This window comes from Homo sapiens, chromosome 13, assembly GCF_000001405.40.
Source record: "Homo sapiens chromosome 13, GRCh38.p14 Primary Assembly".
Classification (NCBI taxonomy): domain Eukaryota; kingdom Metazoa; phylum Chordata; class Mammalia; order Primates; family Hominidae; genus Homo; species Homo sapiens.
The window spans coordinates 50,259,055-50,279,659 of NC_000013.11; the positions used below are offsets into that span (position 1 = coordinate 50,259,055).

Here is a 20,605-nt window from a genome sequence, read left to right on the forward strand (position 1 = left end):
CACTCAGTGGGCTCTTTTGATGAGGAAACTCCTGTCTTTCATTTTCAGGAAATTTTCTTGAATTATGTTGCTGATAATTTTTTCTTGTTTTTTTTTTTTTTCCTCTAGATTATATGTATATTGAACTTCCTAGACTGATTCTCCAGTTTTCTTAGGTTTTCTCTCCCATTCTCCATCTGGTTTTTCTTCTTCCTTTTCTTTTTTCCCCATAAGTGCAATATTCTCCTTTATCTCTCTGAAGTTATTACTGATAGATTTTTTGAAGCTTTTTTCCCCCTACACACTCTGTTTCCTCCAAGGTGCTTTTTTCTTTTTGTTTATTTGGTATTTGTCTTTCATAATAGAAGTTTTCCTCGTATATCTTATATCCTTAATTGCCTGTTCATATGCTAAAATGGGACATAGAAAGCCTATTGAAAACCTTGTGTGTGTATATGTGATACACTTGAGGGTGGTTTGGCTAGAATATTCTTTTGGATAAATTTCTGATGCTCATAACTTTAGTTTCTTTTTCTCTTGGGCTGGTTGGATTCCTAGAGAAGACTCTTCCAACCTACTGCCAGAGGGTAGAAGCCTGTCAGTGTTATGGGAGCTGAGTGAGAAAATAAGCCTGGGGGTCTCAATATCTTGCATTTTACTTCATCCACCTGTTTTCAATATGATACATCCACACTCATTAGTGTTTATTGTCTTGCAATCCAGAGACCTTCTTTTTACCCTCTCTAGAGAATAAACCTTTGTCATCTAGTAGGGAGAGTAGGAATTTGAAGACTTTTAAGCAAACCAATTTTAGCCTAATATTATTCTCTCTTTCCTGAGATACCTGAGGTTCTGAGGTAGGAATTGGGTTGCTTCTGGGCCTTCCCTGATGTAGATAAGGATTTAGCTTTCTTTGTACTGTGATGTCAGTTACCACTTTTTCATCAGCTAACTTCCAAAAATTATTTTTTTTGCTATTGTAGCGTCTCCCATCTTCACATTTGTCCTTATGGGCTTATGCCTTTAAGCAAATCTCTGTACTGGCATTTCATTACAGTTTTGGGATGGAGAAGAATCTGAAGTGTGAGTCCAGTCTACCATTTTTAACAGAAAATCTTTGAGATTTCATGGACGTTCCCCTCCACTTTTTTTTTTTTTTTTTTTTTTTTGCTAGGCTGACACTATGTTGTGCACTCTAACACAGGGACATTGATGTTGCATGCGCATGTTTTCACCTTAGCATGAATCATTTTCAACTGGCTTCTTACTTCAGTCCCTCAAACCAATATGTTCTTTTTTTTTTTTGAGATGGAGTCTTGCTCTTGTCACCCAGGCTGGAGTGCAGGCGATCTCGGCTCACTGCAAGCTCCGCCTCCCAGGTTCACGCCATTCTTCTGCCTCAGCCTCCTGAGTAGCTGGGACTACAGGTGCCCACCACCATGCCCGGCTAATTTTTGTATTTTTTTTTTTAGTAGAAATGGGGTTTCACCGTGTTAGCCAGGATGGTCTCGATTTCCTGACCTTGTGATCTGCCTGCCTCAGCCTCCCAATATATTCTAGTTGAGTCACTCCACTTATCTTTCAGACATAACCCTACAAGTCTGAATTCTAACCCTGGACACAGCTCAGGCTCAAACCAGAATTCTTTTCTCTCACGATAGCCTTCTCTTTCACTAGAGGAGTCAGAGGTGGGCTGTTCAAATTGGTTCTGGTGTTACACTGTTGACTCATTAATAGAAGCATGTTTTCCCTAGTGTGATTGTTAAAATCCTAGTTATAAGGCACTCACTTTGCATATAATTGCATATTTTGGTACTCAGTAGTAGGAAACTGGTTGAGGATATTCTGATATTCTAGAACATTTGTTTCAAAAGATACCTTGCTATGATAGAGGCATCACATGCAATACTATAGCTATAAATATAGTTATTTTCTGAATTGTCTTTTTAGAGAAACATACTTGCTGATAGGAAATTTTTACCTTGGATGGCTGGTTATATAATGTCATATTAACAAAACAAATAATATCTAGAGAAATCTGTATAATCTTATAAAAATTATGATGATCAACTCTAGTACTTCCAGCCTGCAGAAATCTTGGTCCTTTGTATGACATGAAGTTGCCAAAAAGATACTTAGAGTGGTTTCATCTTAATATTTTCATATGTACATCAAAGGAATATGAATGCTTCCAAGATGTTAGTCTGTTTTGTTGAATTTCACAGCTTTGCATCCCGAGTCAGGAAGCTGTCATGGCGTTGTGCTGGTACACCAGTGCGGATGCCAGCATGTGCATATGCTGACACATATGCTAAACCAGGAGTCAAGACTCCAGCACTCAGATGAATGTTAGACATCTCTCATCTAAATTCAGAGCCAAGGAGGTCCGTGTAGGCAGGCTTTCCCTAAGCTTCCCTTCTGGCTATGATTTGAAATTAATCATTTTAATCATAGGTTAACATCAGGGTCCATGTAGTTAAAACATGAGACTTGACAAATTTTCATAGCCTAAGGCTACAGTCTTTATTGCCAGAGCAGTAAGCCACGGAACATAGTCATTGTGGTAGGAAAGATTTTTGTCTGTCTGACGTCTTTGTGGGTATCATTACTTCCCAGTTCTCAGGTATGGGTATTCTGATGGGGCTATCTACAACCTTTGGATCCAGAGGCAGGCACATGACCCAAGCCTGGACCATCAAAGTGCTCATGGAGTTGATGGCAGTGATGGCTCAGGAGCCAGCACCTGACTCAGCAGGCTTGTCTGAGCCTGCCCATGAGCTCTTTCTGGAGCTGTCTGGGATAAAGTGCCATCTCTTTGCTAGGCTGGTTGGCTGTAAGGACAGCATGTCTAAAGCTGCTGCTGGTCATCTTTGCTACTCCTGGGAGAGAGTTTGAGAAACAAGTTAGTACAGAGAAAGCAGAACCAAGGGATGGAGGAAAGGAGGCAGATTCCAGATGATATTCTTTGTACCCCAGGAATATCTCAAATGAGGAATGCCCCTGGACTTTCTAATTTTGAGAGTCCAATAAATTCTGTTTTTGGAAAGCTGGTTTAATTGGATTCTATACCTGCAATTGAAGGAGACTGACTAATATGGTTATATTGGTCTTCACCAACTGTAATTTTTCTGTAAACTACGTATACTGGTCAGATTTTAGATGGCAATCAAGTTGAATTATCCAACCGAGCTGTCTGTATTGATGAGCTTAACTCAGTATTTTCTAAATCTCTACTTTGTACAGTGTAGACACCTCTAAACAAGTAATAACAAACTGATATTCAAGCGCAAGTGGTCCACTCTGACTAATTGTCCACCTCTCAGGGTTTAGAGACATCCCTTGTAAATGATTATGGAATTACCTATTTCACAGAGACACTGTGGTAATTATTTCAAATAAGTCCTTTAGGACCCTTGAATATACTTTTTTTTTTTTTTGAGACGGAATCTTGCTCTGTCGCCCAGGCTGGAGTGCAGTGGTGCCATCTTGGCTCACTGCAAGCTCCGCCTCCCAGGTTCATGCCATCTTCCTGCCTCAGCCTCCCGAGTAGCTGGGACTACAGGTGCCCACCACCATGCCCGGCTAATTTTTTTGTGTTTTTAGTAGAGAAGAGATTTCACCGTGCTAGCCAGGATGGTCTCGATCTCCTGACCTCGTGATCCGCCCACCTCGGCCTCCCAAAGTGCTGGGATTACAGGCATGAGCCACCGTGCCTGGCCGAATAGACTTAATTGTAATAGCAAAAGTTATTTTATTGTCATTATAGGATGCCTGTTAATTTCTCTATTGATCAGAATGTAGTAAGAATTTTCTCAAACTTATCTAACTCTAAACAGATGGATCTAAATATATTTTTTTCAGTATAAAGTCTGAGAAAAATTCAGATAGGATTATTCTATTGTGTGTTCAAGTTACAAATATGGCTGATTTATGAAATGTTGACAGCTAGTATTCTAGGGTTTTAGCCTGGCAATTCTTAAAATATTTAAGGAAAAGAGTTTTAAAAAATAAATCCAATATTAAATGATGTAACATAACACATTGTTAATAAGAGACGTTAGGGTCTCCAAAGAATATGCATACAAAAGAATCAAATATATTTCATATATTAATTGACTTGCTAAATCCTCTTCCAATCTCTCTCTTTCTCTCTCTCTCTCTCTCTCTCTCTTTCTTTCTTTCTTTCTTTCTTTCTTTCTTTCTTTCTTTCTTCTGACAGAGTTTTGCTCTTGTTGCCCAGGCTGGAGTGCAATGGCGTGCTCTCAGCTCACTGCAAACTCCGCCTCCTGGATTCAAGCAATTCTCCTGCCTCAGCCTCCCGAGTAGCTGGGATTACAAGTGCCTGCTACCACGCCTGGCTAATTTTTATATTTTTTGGCAGAGACAGGGCTTCACCATGTTGGCCAGGCTGGTCTTGAACTCCTGACCTCAGGTGACCCACCCCGGCCTCCCAAAGTGCTGGGATTACAGGCATGAGCCACCATGCCCAGCACAGTCTCTCTTTCTATATAACACATACTAGAGCTCTTTCTTGTCTACATTAAGTTGGTCCTCTGTCCTCTCACCCTATTATTCTTTTGTAAAGACAGCTTTGTTGAGATAGAATTTATGTATCATAAAATTCACCCATTTATGATATACAATTCAATGATTTTGATTCCATTATTATTATACAGAAAATAAGCTACACTGTTTATTTTCTTAATTGCACATATCAAAATTTGTAGTTACCTATTTACTTGTTTATTTATTGTTTATGCAACATAATCCCAATTTTGTGAGAAAAAAAATACTGTGTGCACTGGACAGACAAAGATCAAAAGAAATACAGGATTATGGAGAATTTTATTTTCTTTCTTGAAATTTTCTGTGTTTTCCAAAATTTCTCCAATGAGCATCATTTCTTTTTATCAGAAAATATACATTACTTTAAAAATGATCTTTAAGTACAACAATGTGGGTGAATCTTAGCAATATAATATTAAGCTAAAAGACGTTCCAAAAGAACACACACAAAACGCTATACTTTTATATGTCATACGTTGTTTTATATGTCAAAACCAACCAAAATGAAAATACTATTTTATTTATTTATTTATTTATTTCGAGATGGAGTTTCGCTCTTGTTGCCCAGGCTGGAGTGCAATAGTACCATTTTGGCTCACTGCAACCTCTGCCTCCTGGGTTCAAGCGATTCTCCTGCCTCAGCCTCCGGAGTAACTGGGATTACAGGCATGCACCACCACACCTGGCTAATTTTTGTATTTTTTTTTTTTTGTAGAGACGGGGTTTCACCATGTTGGCCAGGCTGGTTGTGAACTCCTGACCTCAGGTGATCCGCCCACCTTGGCCTCCCAAAGTGCTGGGATTACAGGCGTGAGCCACCGCGCCTGGCTGAAAATATTATTATTTTTTGAATAAATATAAATGCAATAAAACTTACATCACAAAAAGCAAGGGAGTACTGAACATAGGATTTAGAATGACTGTTATTTCACATGGGTAGAGCCAAGTGAATGGAATCGAGGAACCATATAATTAGGCAGAGGTTATTGTTAAGAATCTAGTTTTTGTTTTATGAGTTCTTGTAATATTAAAATAGAAGATAGATAAATAGATACAGTCCATATTTTATAAACATATTGTCTCCTTATTCGAGTCGACTGTCTTGTGGGTTATAGCAGTTTTTGCAAGTAGATTCTGTCACTAAAATGTGCTGGTGTCACCAGGGCCAGCACCACCCAATGATATCTCTGTGTCCTCCTTCCCCTGGGAAGAGGAATGTGAGATGGGGTACGGCCCAGGCATGTGGCATCCCAGCCTGCAACTGTGCTGCTGATTGGGTGTCCATCTGATCGGCTAAAGCCCTGCCTTGGTTGTTCAGTGTTTTCAGCATTTTTCCCAGCATGGGCAAAGCCACCAAGCTCATTCATTACCAGGCCAATCAGCCGTATCCACATGTAGCAGCACACCCACCATCAACTTGTACTAAGGGCAATGATTGCAAAGAGGGGGAGAAAAGGAGATGATTGTAGGTGCATGGACATAGCACCTTTTCTGATGGTCAGTTCGATTTCAGTGTGAAGAATTTATTTATTTATTTATTTATTTATTTATTTATTTTTGAGACGGAGTCTCACTCTGTCGCCCAGGCTGGAGTGCAGTGGCGTGATCTCGGCTCACTGCAAGCTCCACCTCCCGGGTTCACGCCATTCTCCTGCCTCAGCCTCCAGAGTAGCTGGGACTACAGGCGCCCGCCACCATGCCCAGCTAATTTTTTGTGTTTTTAGTAGAGATGGGGTTTCACCACATTAGCCAGGATGGTCTCGATTTCCTGACCTCGAGATCTGCCTGCCTTGGCCTCCCAAAGTGCTGGGATTTTAAGTCAGAAACTGCCTCGACGTTTTGTGGTGCTCCTGACGTCTGCACAGCCCTACTTGCACAGTCTTTCCTGATGTCATCACGTCTTGCCTCTGCTACTCATTTGAGACACATACCTTAGATGAAAAGGATTTCTGAAGAGAAGAAGTAGAAAGATGCCCTTTAATAAATCCTTCCAATTATAGAACCAGGTGTCTGGAATAGTCCTCAGAGAACTCCCCACTCCTCTCTTCACTACAGAGGCATAAGACGCAGGCCCTGAGGGATTGAATGTCTCGGCACCACCCAGCCGATCCTCCCACACCGGGAGGTCACCTGGCCTCTGACCCCCTGGCTCCCTTCCCAGCCCCCTTTCACTACACCATACTTGTGGCATGTTCTACCTGTAGAGAAATGTGGTTTATAACCTCCCCAGTTATCATTTATTTCATGGCTTTTACACTGCCTAATTTAAAAAAGAATTTAAAATATTTTACCAAGTTATGATACCCTAAAATATAGAATAAAATCTCAAAAGGGCAGAAACCACTTGGAGGTAAGAGCCTGGGCTGACTTGGTTTCTGTGGTGGAGCCTTGTGGGTGTCCCAGTCTCCAGGGAAGTGAAAGTTTGGGAGTATCTTCATCCATGTGTCAAAAAATAGTGAAAGCCTGCAGAAGCACAAATTCAGCAAAAGCTCACTTCACCTAACAGAAACACTACTGAAAAATCACTTAATGTCAAAACAAATCCTGTGTTGTATTGGATATATATCTAAGGTCTGCAGACTTGGAGAAGATAAGTCATGTTTGATTTTCTGAAACCTTTGCAGCTTGAGGGGCCAGGGTGCCGGGAGCACCTGACAGGGAAGTCCTTGTCATACATGCTAAGAATAAAGCCCCCTTCCTTTTAGAGGCTAGCCCTAGTGGAACCGGTTCCACTCCCTCCTTTCCTGTTTTATTGATTGATTGATTGTTTGATTGATTGATTTAGAGACACACCTCATTCTGTCACCCAGGATGGTGTGCAGTGGTGCGATCTCAGCTCACTGCAATTTCTGCCTCCTGGGTTCAAGTGATTCTCGTACCTCAGCCTCTTGAGTAGCTGGGATTAGGTGTGTGCCACCGCCCAGGTAATTTTTGTATTTCTAGTAGAGACGAGGTTTCACCATGTTGACCAGGCTGGTCTTGACTCTTGGCTTCAACTGATCCGCCTACCTCGGCCTCCCAAAGTGCTGGGATTACAGGCGTGAGCCACCGCGCCCGACCCCCTCCCCTGCCCTGTTGACACTTAACTGCAAACCTGGGAGAGAAAGGCAGAAAGGAAGGAAGTGTATGTCTGGAGTTAACTAGATAAAACTACAAGAGGTACTGGTAAGTGGTGGAAACAGGTGTTTGGTTATAAAGAGTGGTATCTGCTGTTGTGCTGGGTTTCACGTGATTTATGTTTTCTCTGGTGAGCCCCGCTAGTATGAAGACAGTAGGGCTTTGCTAGAACTGGTGTGTTCTCGGGGTAGTAATGGTCTCTTACTGGAGTCCCAGGAATCTCTGGGTCTCTTCCTTTTTTAATAACAAGAGCTATTCCAATAACCTTTTTGACCCTGTGATGTTCATAGATAGTATTAGCTTTTTGGTTTAATTCTTCAAGATAAAGTTTACACCCTAACAGGATCCTTTGGGGGTGTTATTCCAAAGGGGAGTGTGATGTGTGAATTTCAGGCTGTTTCAGGATAACGAAGAAAGCAGTTTGTGGAGAAGGGACTTTGAAGCCACAGCACACACTTCCCAGCTTCTTCCACTTTTGCAGAAAGCATTCTTGGGGGTGGGATGTGGATGGTGTGTGTTCTTACATAAGGTGGTCTTGTTACTGAGAGTGCAGGAAGTTCCTTTGTTTCTTGGTTTGTGGTCTTTAGTAACGATAACTTTAGGTGAATGGAACCTTTCTGTACATTTTCAGAAATCTCCAACGTTTGGATCATGCCAGGATGTTAACTTTTTACAGGCCGAAGCTGAACGGCCTGTTATGAGGGAGCCCCAAAATATGTAACATCATTACCTCTGTTAACACCAGTTTGTCAGCCTCTAGACCCACTGTTCACAGTGGCATCAATCCTGGAGAAGATCCACACCTTAGAATGGTTTTGTTTGGTTGCCCTGTTGGGACCTTCACTGAGTCTTACCCAGGGGTTCTTATAGTGTGTCTGAGGTGTGTTCCCCAACTGGCCCTGGGTGCAGAAATTATATTTGCAGCCAGATAACTTATAATTTGCTACATATGGCCAGTCTTTTTTAGCAGTTTTCTTTCTTTTGCATTTTGCCACACCCACTCCCAATTTACTGTTAGCAGCCCTCCTGGTACCTTCTCACCACAAGGGACTTATATTAGATATCTGTAGGCTCCGAGACAGAGAGAGAGAGATTGAGAGTGAGAGAGCCCAATCACATTGCTTGCCTCCTGTTTTATTTTAATATCATTATTTTTTACATTACTGTTCCTTGACCCTTGTACATTAAACATTAAATAGAAGTCAAGGTTATAGTCATGGGGCCAGAGAGAGGAATCTACCTTCCTTGATGACTCTAGGCTGGAACAGGATTGAAGGGAGCACAGGAGTGGCTAGGGCTACAGTCTGTGCTTCTACAGAGAAGCATGTGGAACAGAAGGTTGAGGTGAGAGGCCGAGTGGCACAGATGAAAGAGCATGTTATTTTGGAGTTGGACAGACCTTAACTGGAATGCTAACTTGGCCACTGGTCAGCTATGTGGTCTTGGGCAAATTACCTGGCACTTCCAAACTTCAGTGACCTTTGCCTTATCTGTAAACTGGACTTGCAAGATTGTTATGGTAATCAAGTGGAATAATAGGTAGTAAGTACTTATTGTCCCATATAAGGCATTTCATAAATATTATTTTCTCTTTCTTTTCATTACGAGGGAATGAGAAAAAAAGCCAAAGACATGAAAATCCCCATGTTCTATTAATAACAGCTTCCATTTTTCTTTCTCATATTTTTATAATGCTTTAAACTATGTGGGTAATTGTTTCAGCATTTAATCTTTCCACTGAATTACTTAATTACATTTATGACAACCACATTTTAATTTTGAGTACATCGATGGAACTATTAATTTATTCTAATGAATTTACAACATGGCTGGAATTTTTTTCACCATTAATTTTGTGGTGATAGAAAACTATGCTGCCTGCCATAGATTTATCTTGCTTTAATCATATTTTAATCAAATCAAATTCCTTAAAAGTCTAGATAAGGGTCCCCCTAGAGGAAAGGAGTAAGAAGATTTTCTCTGAAAAGCATATTTAAGCCTGATGGTTTATCAGCTTGGTTGACTCCCACTTCTGCTCTCAAGTGTTAGCAGAGGAAACTTGGTGGACATTTTTTTGGAGGGGTTGGGAACTCGGGAGGAACATTTTTCTGGAGGGGTTGGAGGCTTGGGAGGAATGCATAGTGGTGGAGGAGAATAAATGAGATTAGAAATTTCTTTTTCCAAAGAAAGCGGCCATTCTGCACATCTGGAGAGGGTGCCGTCATTTGTTTGGTTCCCAGATGCTTTGCAGTCCACACTTCTGGGAAGACCCCTGCCTGCCAAGTCATCATTGCCTTCAAAGGGATTTCTTTCTCAGCAAGGTGATAACGTTCACTGCCATAGCCTCCCCTGATTAATGCTTTAAGATTGATTGCTGGTCCAGCCTGGCAGACGGGCGCTGAATTTCCCATTTAGTACTCTCAGGTTTTAAACATTCAAAATGGCAGTAAATAAAACACATGCCTTTCAACATCCCTTTTTCCCCTCAGCTCACAGCTTGGGAGTTTAGGTTAACTTTTTGTTATAACAGGCGTTTGAGATGAACAAGGAAAGCTCCCTAACAGTTCTTTCTGTGATTTGTTTCTTATTAAATTAAAAAATTTGTCATTTATTTATTGGAGAGGAGGGAAGAGGTTTGGCCATGGACACTAGTTGCAAAAACGAATTGTAAGCACAGGTAGTGGCAGATTAAAAACACTTTAGCAATTAGTATTTTCCACTTGATGGTTTAAAACTGAAAAAAAAATTATCTCCAACTGCTGCTAATATTACAGCTTAAGAACAGGCTGATAGATCTTGCATACGAAACATCTCACTCTGGGAAAATCTTCACCCTTCTCATTCTTAGTTATAATAAGACAAGGCAATAGCCTTTTTAGTTTGTGTGTACTGATATGAATTTCTCCATGAAGAATTTATGGAAGCTACTAAATAAACACATGGAGAGCTATAAGAACCCTAACCCTATGAAACACACAATTTAGATCCACCTATCATGTAAATTAAACATTCGTCAGAAGAAACAGTTAGAGGTGTGTTAGAGCTTTAAATAGGACTGTTTATATTAGGATGAGATAAAGACTGACATTCCAAAGTTATTAACCAACATGTGTCTCCCCTTCTATGGAATTTGCCTAATAAGAATTTTTTTAAAAAATTCAATATTATTTTGAATTAACAAATCTTAATTGTATATATTTATGGGGTACATTGTGATGTTTTGATATATGCATACAATGTGGAATGGTTAAATCAAGCTAATTAGCATATCTATCACCTCAGGTACTTACCATATTTTGTGCAGAGATATTTAAAATTTACTGTCTTAGTTCTTTTGGGATATGTAATACATTATCATTGAATATAGTCATCCTGCTGTGCAATAGACCTCAAAAACTTATTCCTCCTGTCTAACTCAAACTTTGTCCTCCTTGACTAACAACTCCTTGTTTCCCATTCACCCCCCCAGCCCTCAACCTCTGATTATCATCATCTGATAAGAATGTTTTGACACTTAGAATTTGAAGAGGTAATTTGAATGACATGAAGACTTTTCATAATTGTTAATGTTTTATCATAAATGCATCATTTCATTACATATATGATTTCAAAGGCTTTGTCATATTCTTTAATCTAGTTATATGTCTTATGCACAGATGTTTATTTTATGGGAGTGTAACTTAATGAAAGCTAAGGGCAAATATAATTTCATTTATAGAAATTTACTTTCCCTAACAACATTGAGTTATACTTCCATAAATTTTATTCCCTCTCAACTAGGGAGGGAGGATGTGGAAAACAAAACAAAACAATTCTGGCCTTCTAAGTTCTTGAAGATCAAAGCTGCCATCTTGAGGAGTGTCTCCTCTCAACTCAAACAAGTGGGGACCCTTCCAGCTGAGGCCCAGGACACCTTTGTTTGTCCTAGAATACTCTTCTTTGATTCTGCCCTGAGGCTACATCTGGGGCACTCTAACTGCCCCCTTCAGTCTGTCCCCAAGCTACAGGGCAAAATCCCATGGGATCCATGGTGAAACCCTAGGCTGGGAGATAAGACTGCAACATGCAAAACAGTCTTCTCAGATCACATTATGCCTGAACACCTGAGCACTTGGGGAAAGAACAAAGTAAAAAGCTAGCATGAAGGCAGTTTACATCAAGGTAAAGCTTCCAGAATATATTTCAAGTCAGCCTGAGCAATCAAAGTGATTGGAACCACTAAAATAATTTATGTCTTCATAGGAGTTTTCTTGAAAAGCAGAAGTTCCAAAAGCAATGCTGAAGGCAGTCTAGTGTGCCGGATGATTCTCTGGACACATTGTAAAACACCACAAGCAGTTAGTGCAAGGGTGTGAAACACAGCACCTTTTTTGAGTTATATCTGGCTGTTTAAAAGCATGATTTTGGGAGGAAAGAGAGAAGAGGGGATCAAAATGTTTTCCCTCCTTTTTTCAGTGGGAGAGCAGAGAAGAAATGTTGGTCAAGATGCCCATGGATGGAAGAAAAGGTGGTGGGTGGGGGGCAGTGGTTAAGGACATAGAGGGGCAACTGCCTTGAGAAAAGGGAAACTTAGATGGAAAAATTAAAACTTGAACTTCTGGGGGAACTTACTTTGTTTTTTAATCTTTGTATGACTTTCTCCCATAAGCCTACCCATTTCCCGAAGTGATTTGAGATGGATTGTTTTCATCCAGGCCAGTCTTGGAATAGGGATGCCCAGCAGGGCCCAGGGTCTGGCACCCTCTCCTTGGCCTTAAGGCCAGATACCTGGGGTAAGTGTTGAGTCCAGGCCAGAGGTAGGGGTGAGGTAGGGGGAGAAGGGATGGTAACACCTGCTGGTGCTAAAGGCTCTCATCTACTGGCCCCATAGAGTTTGTGTGTCTGTTTGCACACATGATGTGTGCACATACATGTGTATGTGTAGGGTGGCTGGTGGGAACCAACTCCTTCATTCCTCCACATGTTCTCCCGGGGCTCTAGGCTGCCATTTTGGAGAAAGACTCACCTGTATTTGTTCTTCCTCCACTGAGGAACACCTCTGCCTTCGGTTTATTGCTGTTTTCTCTGGTTACAATTTTGGTTCCATTGAATAACATTGGCCTTAATGTTCATTTACATGAGATTTTGCCTGTATTTGCCTGCACATGTGTGTGAGTGTGGGGGGCACACATATATGTATTTGCCTTTGTATCAGGGGAGGTGCACCTAGTGATTCCCTCTGCATTCTACACCTGTGAGAGAAGATCCCAGCTGTTTCCCAGCTTAAATTTAGCAGGGAGGTAAATGGACCCTCTGTGGGTTTAGATAAGGTGTATGGTCAAGCAGATGTTGTTTTTCCTTTTATAACTTGCCACCGACCTTCTCATTAGGGGCTGGAATAAAGTCATGAGATTATAGTCTTATGTTGCTAAGAAGGGGAAACATAACAAATCTACTAGCATTAATTTATATACCACGTTGACTCAATAAAAATCTTTGTAGATCTTGAACCTTAATCAAAGGAATAACTCTTATGGTGGAAAAGTTAGGCTAGGTGGAGAGCATTCAGTGTCCTTCAGTCATACATAGTAGTTATCACTTGCTGATCCCAGGAAACCGGTAATGCTTTAGAGAGAATGGTTGTCATGGTGAGTTTGAATTACCTGTAGCTATTCAGATGAGTATTTGGATAGATAGTTAGGAGAGTACAGTTGTGGAGCTTGAGAAGGCAGATGAGGGCCAGAGGTGTGAATTTGGGGGCCATTGGTCTGTGGGTGATGATGAAGCAATGAACATTTGCAAGATTACAGAGGGAGAAATGAGAGGAGAAGCTGCCTACAGTGAGCTGGGATAGAAGCGTGGGCTGCACGGATGCAGGGACCCATGCTCTTTGTGACTTGTGAGACTGATAACAAATATACACGCGCCATGTTTAGTGGAGGGTTACGTGGTCTTTGTAAGTGTTACTGAAAATACATCTATCAGACTGGCCATTTCGTGCAAAGATGAAAGTTCATAGAATTCAACTTACCAAAGATTTACTAACTGTCAAATACCATGTTCCATGCCAACAGAGAAAAATCACACATTCATTAGATCAATTCTTATTCCCAAGAAGTGAGGGAGACAGACGTGCAAGCACCTTACTAGAATATAAGGCCAAATGAAATAGGGTAATAACAGCTGGAGACAGTGGGAACTTAACAGAAAGAAAAATTCATCTCAAAGCGGGGCTTCAGGGAAGTTTTATTGAAAAAGTGGAGGGCTGACTAAGACTCCAACAGACAAGGAAGTGAGGGGAGAGAATCTGAGAGTGAGGACCCCTCTCAGTCTCAGGCTTTCTGGTCTAACACTGAGTATTAGGGAGATCTCTGGTCATTCTCCAAGCGCAGCCTCTAACTTCTACATGCCAGGCCCTATATGAGAAAATAAGAGCCTCCAAAATACAAACCCCTCTCCCCAACTGGCAGTGAATGGTGACTTACAACAAGTACTTTCCAATGATACTCTCAAACAATGAAAATGATACTTCATGGTTCCTTAAGCATGGCAGAGAGAACCACCAGATCACATAATGCAACTCATCTAATATTCCTATTGAAATACAGTGGGAATCACTTTAATAGCACTGAGAAAATACCAGTGAGATAAAGTCTATTTTAAAAAGTTTTGTTGGCTGGGCATGGTGGCTCACACCTGTAATCCAAGCACTTTGGGAGGCCGAGGCGGGCAGATCACGAGGTCAGGAGTTTGAGACCATCCTGGCCAACATGGTGAAACCTCGTCTCTACTAAAAATACAAAAATTAGCTAGGTGTGGTGGCACGCGCCTGTAGTCCCAGCTACTTGGGAGGCTGAGGCAGGAGAATCGCTTGAACCTGAAAGGCGGAGATTGCAGTGAGCCGAGATGGCGCCACTGCACTCCAGCCTGGCAACAGAGTGAGACTCTGTCTCAAAAAAAAAAAAAGTATTGTTTTAGTAGTTGAAAAAGAACAAAATAATAACTGACCAAAGCCGACCATTTTTGTGAAGTTTATTCTGGTGGAGACAGTGCTTGCAGGCCACATCCACTCTGTTCTTGAAGGGAGAAAGAACACCAGTGAAAAGTGAAGCATTGCTTTCCTCGAGCTTACATTTTTCCCGGCATGCACAATGTCGCCAGTGCATATGTTGAGGTCTTTGCGTTTGAAGCGTGGATGCTGTTTAGTCCTTACTGCATATATTTATTATGTGAGATTTATTTTAAAAGAGTCTGTGAAGTTGGCCATGGTGGCTCACATCTGTAATCCCAGCACTTTGGGAGGCCAAGCTGGACGGATCACTTGAGCCCAGGAGTTCGAGACCAGCATGAACAATATATTGAGACCTTGTCTTTATAAAAATTTTTTAAAAATTAGCTGAGCATGGTGGTGTGCACCTGTAGTCCCAGCTACTTGGGAGGCTGAGGTGAGAGGATCTCTTGAGCCCAAGACATGGAGACTCTAGTGAGCTGAGATTGCACCAGCCTGGGCAACATAGTGAGACCCAGACCCAAAAAATAAAAGAGTCTCTCAATCTTATATATGGTTCTCCCCTCTTTGTATCAAATTTAGCTAGTACACTGGCTAAATTGGAAATCAACCTGGGCAAGATCTTGTTTCTTTTCATGCTGTCTCCCCAAAAGTTAAGTGCTAATCAATTTGCTGACGTAACAAAAGAAGCAATCAGAATATGATATAAATATTAAGTAGAATATCTTTTCCTCTCTCAAGCCTTCCTTGGCTATCTTAGACTTAATAGTTCTCTTCTTTTTACTGGTTTTGTGCTTTCTAATTACAACTGTTACATATCATGTTGGGTAATAAGAATTCAATTACTGCCATCTTTGACCTGAGTGACCTGAGGGCATGAGCTCTCTTGTTCATTAGTTCCAGCACCCAGCCTGCTGATAGACACATAGCATGAGCTCCATGATTCCTCATAGGAAGATTGGAGTACTGTAGAAATTATAGCATCCTAAAAACCCATTTGGATTTTCTAATGCCATTCTTCTCTATATTGGTCAACCTGCTGGAGACTATTTGTGAATACAAATTATGTTCCCAAATACATCCTAGTCCAGGTAAGACAATGCCAAACATAGCTTGGAGGAGCTGTCATCTAGTGGGAAAAATTAATGGTCTACATACCACTGGGTCCTAGTCCTGGCATTGTACTACAATCCTTGCAGCTGAAGGTGGTTTTTTTTACCTCTCTAGGTGCTGCGTTGCCATCTTTAAAGTCATCCCACTGGACCACATCAGTATTGCAAGCTGCTTGGGTATCATTAATGAAGACAAAGTGGGATTATTATTTTCTATGATTTGGGCTTTTGTGAGTTTATTTATTAATGTAGTCTCACCATCACACCCCCTCTTTTTTTTAAATAGGCATGCCATATTACTGCATTGTAGTAAGCTTCTGACTAATTAGAATTTCTGGATTATTCAAATTGAACTGCTGTTCATATTTTATGACTTTGCCATGTACTTTTTGGGACCTGAAAAGGTCTTCACAATGACCCAGTTAAATTTAATTCTGTTAGTTTTATCTAGCATTTCACTGGTGATGATACATTTGAATCTTGATTCTATATTCTATCATATTAGTTATCCTGCCCACTTTAGGGTCATCTGTGGATCTGATAAATGTGTTTTCTATATTTTTGTCTAAATTATTAACTTGAATTACTAACTAGAACAGATTTAAGGACAGACCCCTGTAGTACTTTGTGAAAGACTTTTTTGCTGGTTGATAAATGATTAATTAACACCCTGGTTTTACTTGTTTATAACTACAGTCATGTGTTGCTTAATGACTGGCATATGTTCTGAGAAACATGTTCTTAGGTGATGTCATCATTGTGTGAACATCAGAGCGTGTATTTACCAAAGCTAGATGGCATAGCCTACCACACACCTAGGCTGTATGCAATAGCCTATTGTTCCTAGGCTGCACACTTTTATAGCATATTACTGTACTGAATACTGCAGGCAACTGTAACACAATGGTTAAGTATTTGTGTATCTAAACATATCTAAACATAGAAAAGGTACAGTAAAATATGATATAAAAGATAAAAAATGGCATGCTTGTATAAGGCACTTATGAATGGAGTTTGCAGGGCTGGAAGTTGCTCTGGCTGAGTCAGTGAATGAGTGGGGAGTGAAAGTGAAGGCCTAGTAATGATTGTTCACTACTGTAGACTTTAGAAACACCTACACTTAGGCTACACTACATTTATAAAAATATTTTTCTTCAGTAATAGATTAACCTTAGCCTTCTGTAACTTTTTCACTTTACAAACTTCTAAATTCTTTATACTTTTTACTCTTTTGTAATAACACCTAGTTTAAAACACAAACACACTATACAGCTATACAAAAATATTTTCTTTATTTATACCCTTATTCTATAAGTTTTTTCTATTTTTAAAATTTTGAATTTTTATTTACTTTTTAAACAATTTTTTGTACAAACTAAGACACAAACACACACATTAGCCTAGGCCTCCACAGGGTCAGGATAATCAATATCACTGTTTTCCACTGCCACATCTTGTGCCCCTGGAAAGCACTGAGGCAATAAAAGGCATGGGGCTGTCATCTCCTATGATAACAAGGCTTTCTTCTAGAATATCTCCTGAAGGACCTGCCTGAGGCTTTTTCTTGTTTTCACATTAGTGAAGACACTGAAGATGTCACTAGGCAATAGGAATTTTTAACCTCTATTATAGTCTCATGGGACCACCCTCTCTCTGTATGTGGGCTGTCCCCGACCAAAACGTTGTTATGCAGTGTGTGACTGTAGTTGTAAGTCAATGCTACTGGACTAGCTATCAGTCAATCATATGCTTATAAAGATTCCAATCCTACCTGGCTCAAGAATTTCAGAGGGGACTTACTGAGTTGGACTGGTTTTAATTTGTACTACTTGAAAATTCAATATCAATCTAAATGTGAACTTCCCCTACAGGAGTAATCAAGACACCCCAGGGGGCCCTGGGACCCCTTTGTCCTCCAGTACAGGTTCTATGAGTTTGCAGGATCTTAAAATTTGTGTATGTAAGGCCTCGAAGAGCTCGGCTGCCTGGTTCTGTCCTGTGTTCTTGAAACAAAACTGACTTTGGGGCAAATTAGAAAGTAGATTCAAATTATTTCATTCTAGTTTGATGGCAGCTTTCCCTTCTTCTGTGACACATCTTCTTGCTATTGGAGGTGGCTGGGGTCTTCCTGGTTTCTTCCAGCTTTTCCTTTTCTGTCCCTCACTAGCGAGGTCACACACTCTCCTCTGGACTTCTCTCTTCTTATCAAGAGTTTGTGTCTCCTTTTCATTCCTCGGTGACCATTGCATGTGGCTAGGTAATAGAATGGAGGTACTTGCTTGCACAAGTGCTTGTGTACACAAACATACAGAGATACACACACAGACACACCACACAGACATACGTCTACAACAGAAATACATAAAGATGCACACAGAGACATACATGTTCAAACAGACATACACACAGACACCAAGACACACACAGACACCCACACAGACATGCAGGCACACACATGCCTCCCCCACCACCCAGACATACATGCTGAGTCACTGATGGGCTAGGGAACCTCTGTTCTCCCAGCCACACGCAATCTCTGAGAATTGCCCTTGGGCTAACGTCCACACCACCCTGCCAGGCCCATTTTCCTGTTGTAGATGAAGAAAGAGCAGGGCTGGCCTCGTGGGCGTGTGACTGTGCCTACAGTTAGAAGGGTCCTGTAGTTGTTTTAATGCTCTGCTCTTGTCACCTTGAAATCCGTAATTCCTTTTGAACAAGGGATCCTGCATTTTAATTTTGCACTAGGCACCACAAATTATGTAACCAATTCTGAGGAGGAGTTATGTGTTCCGTAGTGTGATTTACCTGTGCACTATATCTGGGGACTCCGTCTGCATGCTAGCAGCTGCTGGAAGAGTCTATTTCACATTAATTTTCCTGCTGCATATTTTCCAATAAACTATCTTCCAATAAACTATCTTTTAAAGCTGTTAACAAGTGTTTTCTAAGAAAGTTCACTCAAGAATTCACCCTGATGGAACTATTTGTTTTACTCTCCTGTGGTTGTAACTGCCCAATCTGTTCTCCTTGCCTGCTGCCTAGACAGAGCCAATTTATCAAGACAGGGGAATTGCAGTAGAGAAAGAGTTTAATTCACACAGAGCCGGCTGTACAAGAGACTGGAGTTCTATTATTACTCAAATCAGTCTTCCAAAAAACGTGAGGATTGGGGTTTTTAAGGGTAATTTGGTGTCTAGGGGGTCAGAAAGTAGGGAGTGCTGATTGATCGGATCGGAGATGAAGTCACAGGGAGTCGAAGCTGTCCTCTTGAGTTTGTTCCTGGGTTGGGGCGGCAAGACCAGCTGAGCCGGTTTATTGATCTGGGTGGTGCCAGCTGATCCATCAAATACAGGGTCTGCAAAATATCTCAAGCACTGATTTTAGGTTTTACAGTAGTGATGTTATTCCCAGGAGCAATCTGGGGAGGTTTAGAATCTTGCAGCCTCCAGCTGCATGACTCCAAAGCCATAATTTCTAATCTTGTGGCTACTTTATTAGTCCCACAAAGGCAGTCTAGTCCCCAGGCAGGAAGGGGGTTTGTTTTGGGAAAGGGCTGTTACCCTGTTTTTCAAAGTTCAACTATAAACGAAGTTCCTCCCAAAGTTAGTTCAGCCTACACACAAAAATGAACAAGGACAGCTTGGAGGTTAGAAACAAGATGGAGTCAGTTAGGTTAGATAGCGTTCACTGTTATTTTCTCAGTTACAATTTTTGCAAAGGTGGTTTCTTGGTCACAGTTGTCTCCAATTCTGATTTTATTTAATTTTAATGTCCATATGATACCTACTTTTTCTTTTTTCTTTTTCCTTTTTTTTTTTTTTTTGAGATGGAGTCTTGTTGCTCTGTCACCCAGGCTGGAGTGCAGTGGTGTGATCTTGGCTCACTGCGACTTCCGCCTCTGAAGTTCGAGCGATTCTTCTGCCTCAACCTCCCGAGTAGCTGGGACCACAGGCATGCGCCACCACACTTGGCTAATTTTAGTATTTTTAGTAGAGATGAGGTTTCACCATGTTGGCCAGGCTGGTCTCAAACTCCTGACCTCAGGTGATCCGCCCACCTCAGCCTCCCAGAGTGCTGGGATTAGAGGCATGAGCCACCGTGCCCAGCCTGTTCTCTAATTTTTAAAAACTCCAACCAGAACATAAGTCATGAAAAGATGCAGCAAACATTTGAGAGTCAACAAATATTTACTTTGGACCTACTAAATGCTGAACACTGTTCTAGAGTCTGGGGATAGAGCAGAGAATATAATAGCATCCCTGACCTTGTATAACCTACATTCTGGTGAGGAGAGACAGACCATAAGCCAGCAAAACAGAAGTAATAAACTAGCAAGCATATAGATGAGTGAGAAAATTGCATGCATAGACAAACGCTAAAGAGAAGGTTAAATAGGGTGATGTGGTAGAGGGTGACTGGAGGTGGTTTTAGCTTGGTGGTCTGAACAGGTCTCTCTGAGGAGTTGACTTCTGAGTTGAGACCTAAATGATATTCTGGGTAAATGTAGTTTTGGTAGGGCTTTAAAGTATTAGCTGTAGCTCAAGCATGTTCACTGTTTTTGTGAACTATGACATCCATTTAAATGATGTTCAAAGAGGAATGGTGGGACATCTCAAGTCAAACAAACATCCTGAACTCAGTGGATGAAGTCTCCAACAGGTTTCACTCCAGGGCATTTCCATGAAGTTCCACCTCTCCTTCACTTTGCTGTCAAGGCACCAGGCTTTGTTGTGTGCCCTGTAGGGGGTGGGAGTGGAGCACTTTAGTAGGAGTGATTTGTAGTTTCAGCGAAAGTGGAAGCTTCAGAACCTACCCCTCCAATTTGCTGAAGAAGGTGGGACAG

General features: G+C 41.1%; 1 long non-coding RNA gene across 1 annotated transcript in view, besides 1 other annotated feature; it reads left to right on the top strand.

Annotated features, from left to right (window-relative positions):
• Positions 1 to 20,605, top strand: part of DLEU1 (deleted in lymphocytic leukemia 1) — a 446,475-nt gene that overhangs the window by 176,886 nt on the left and 248,984 nt on the right. The gene's annotated exons all lie outside the window — the stretch shown is intronic.
• Positions 17,396 to 17,918: an enhancer, noted in NCBI's record as "OCT4-NANOG hESC enhancer chr13:50850586-50851108 (GRCh37/hg19 assembly coordinates)". NCBI's record gives its function as "activates a minimal SCP1, AML or CMV promoter by ChIP-STARR-seq in primed H9 embryonic stem cells {active_cell/tissue: H9 hESC(primed)}" and the evidence as "EXISTENCE:reporter gene assay evidence [ECO:0000049][PMID:30033119]".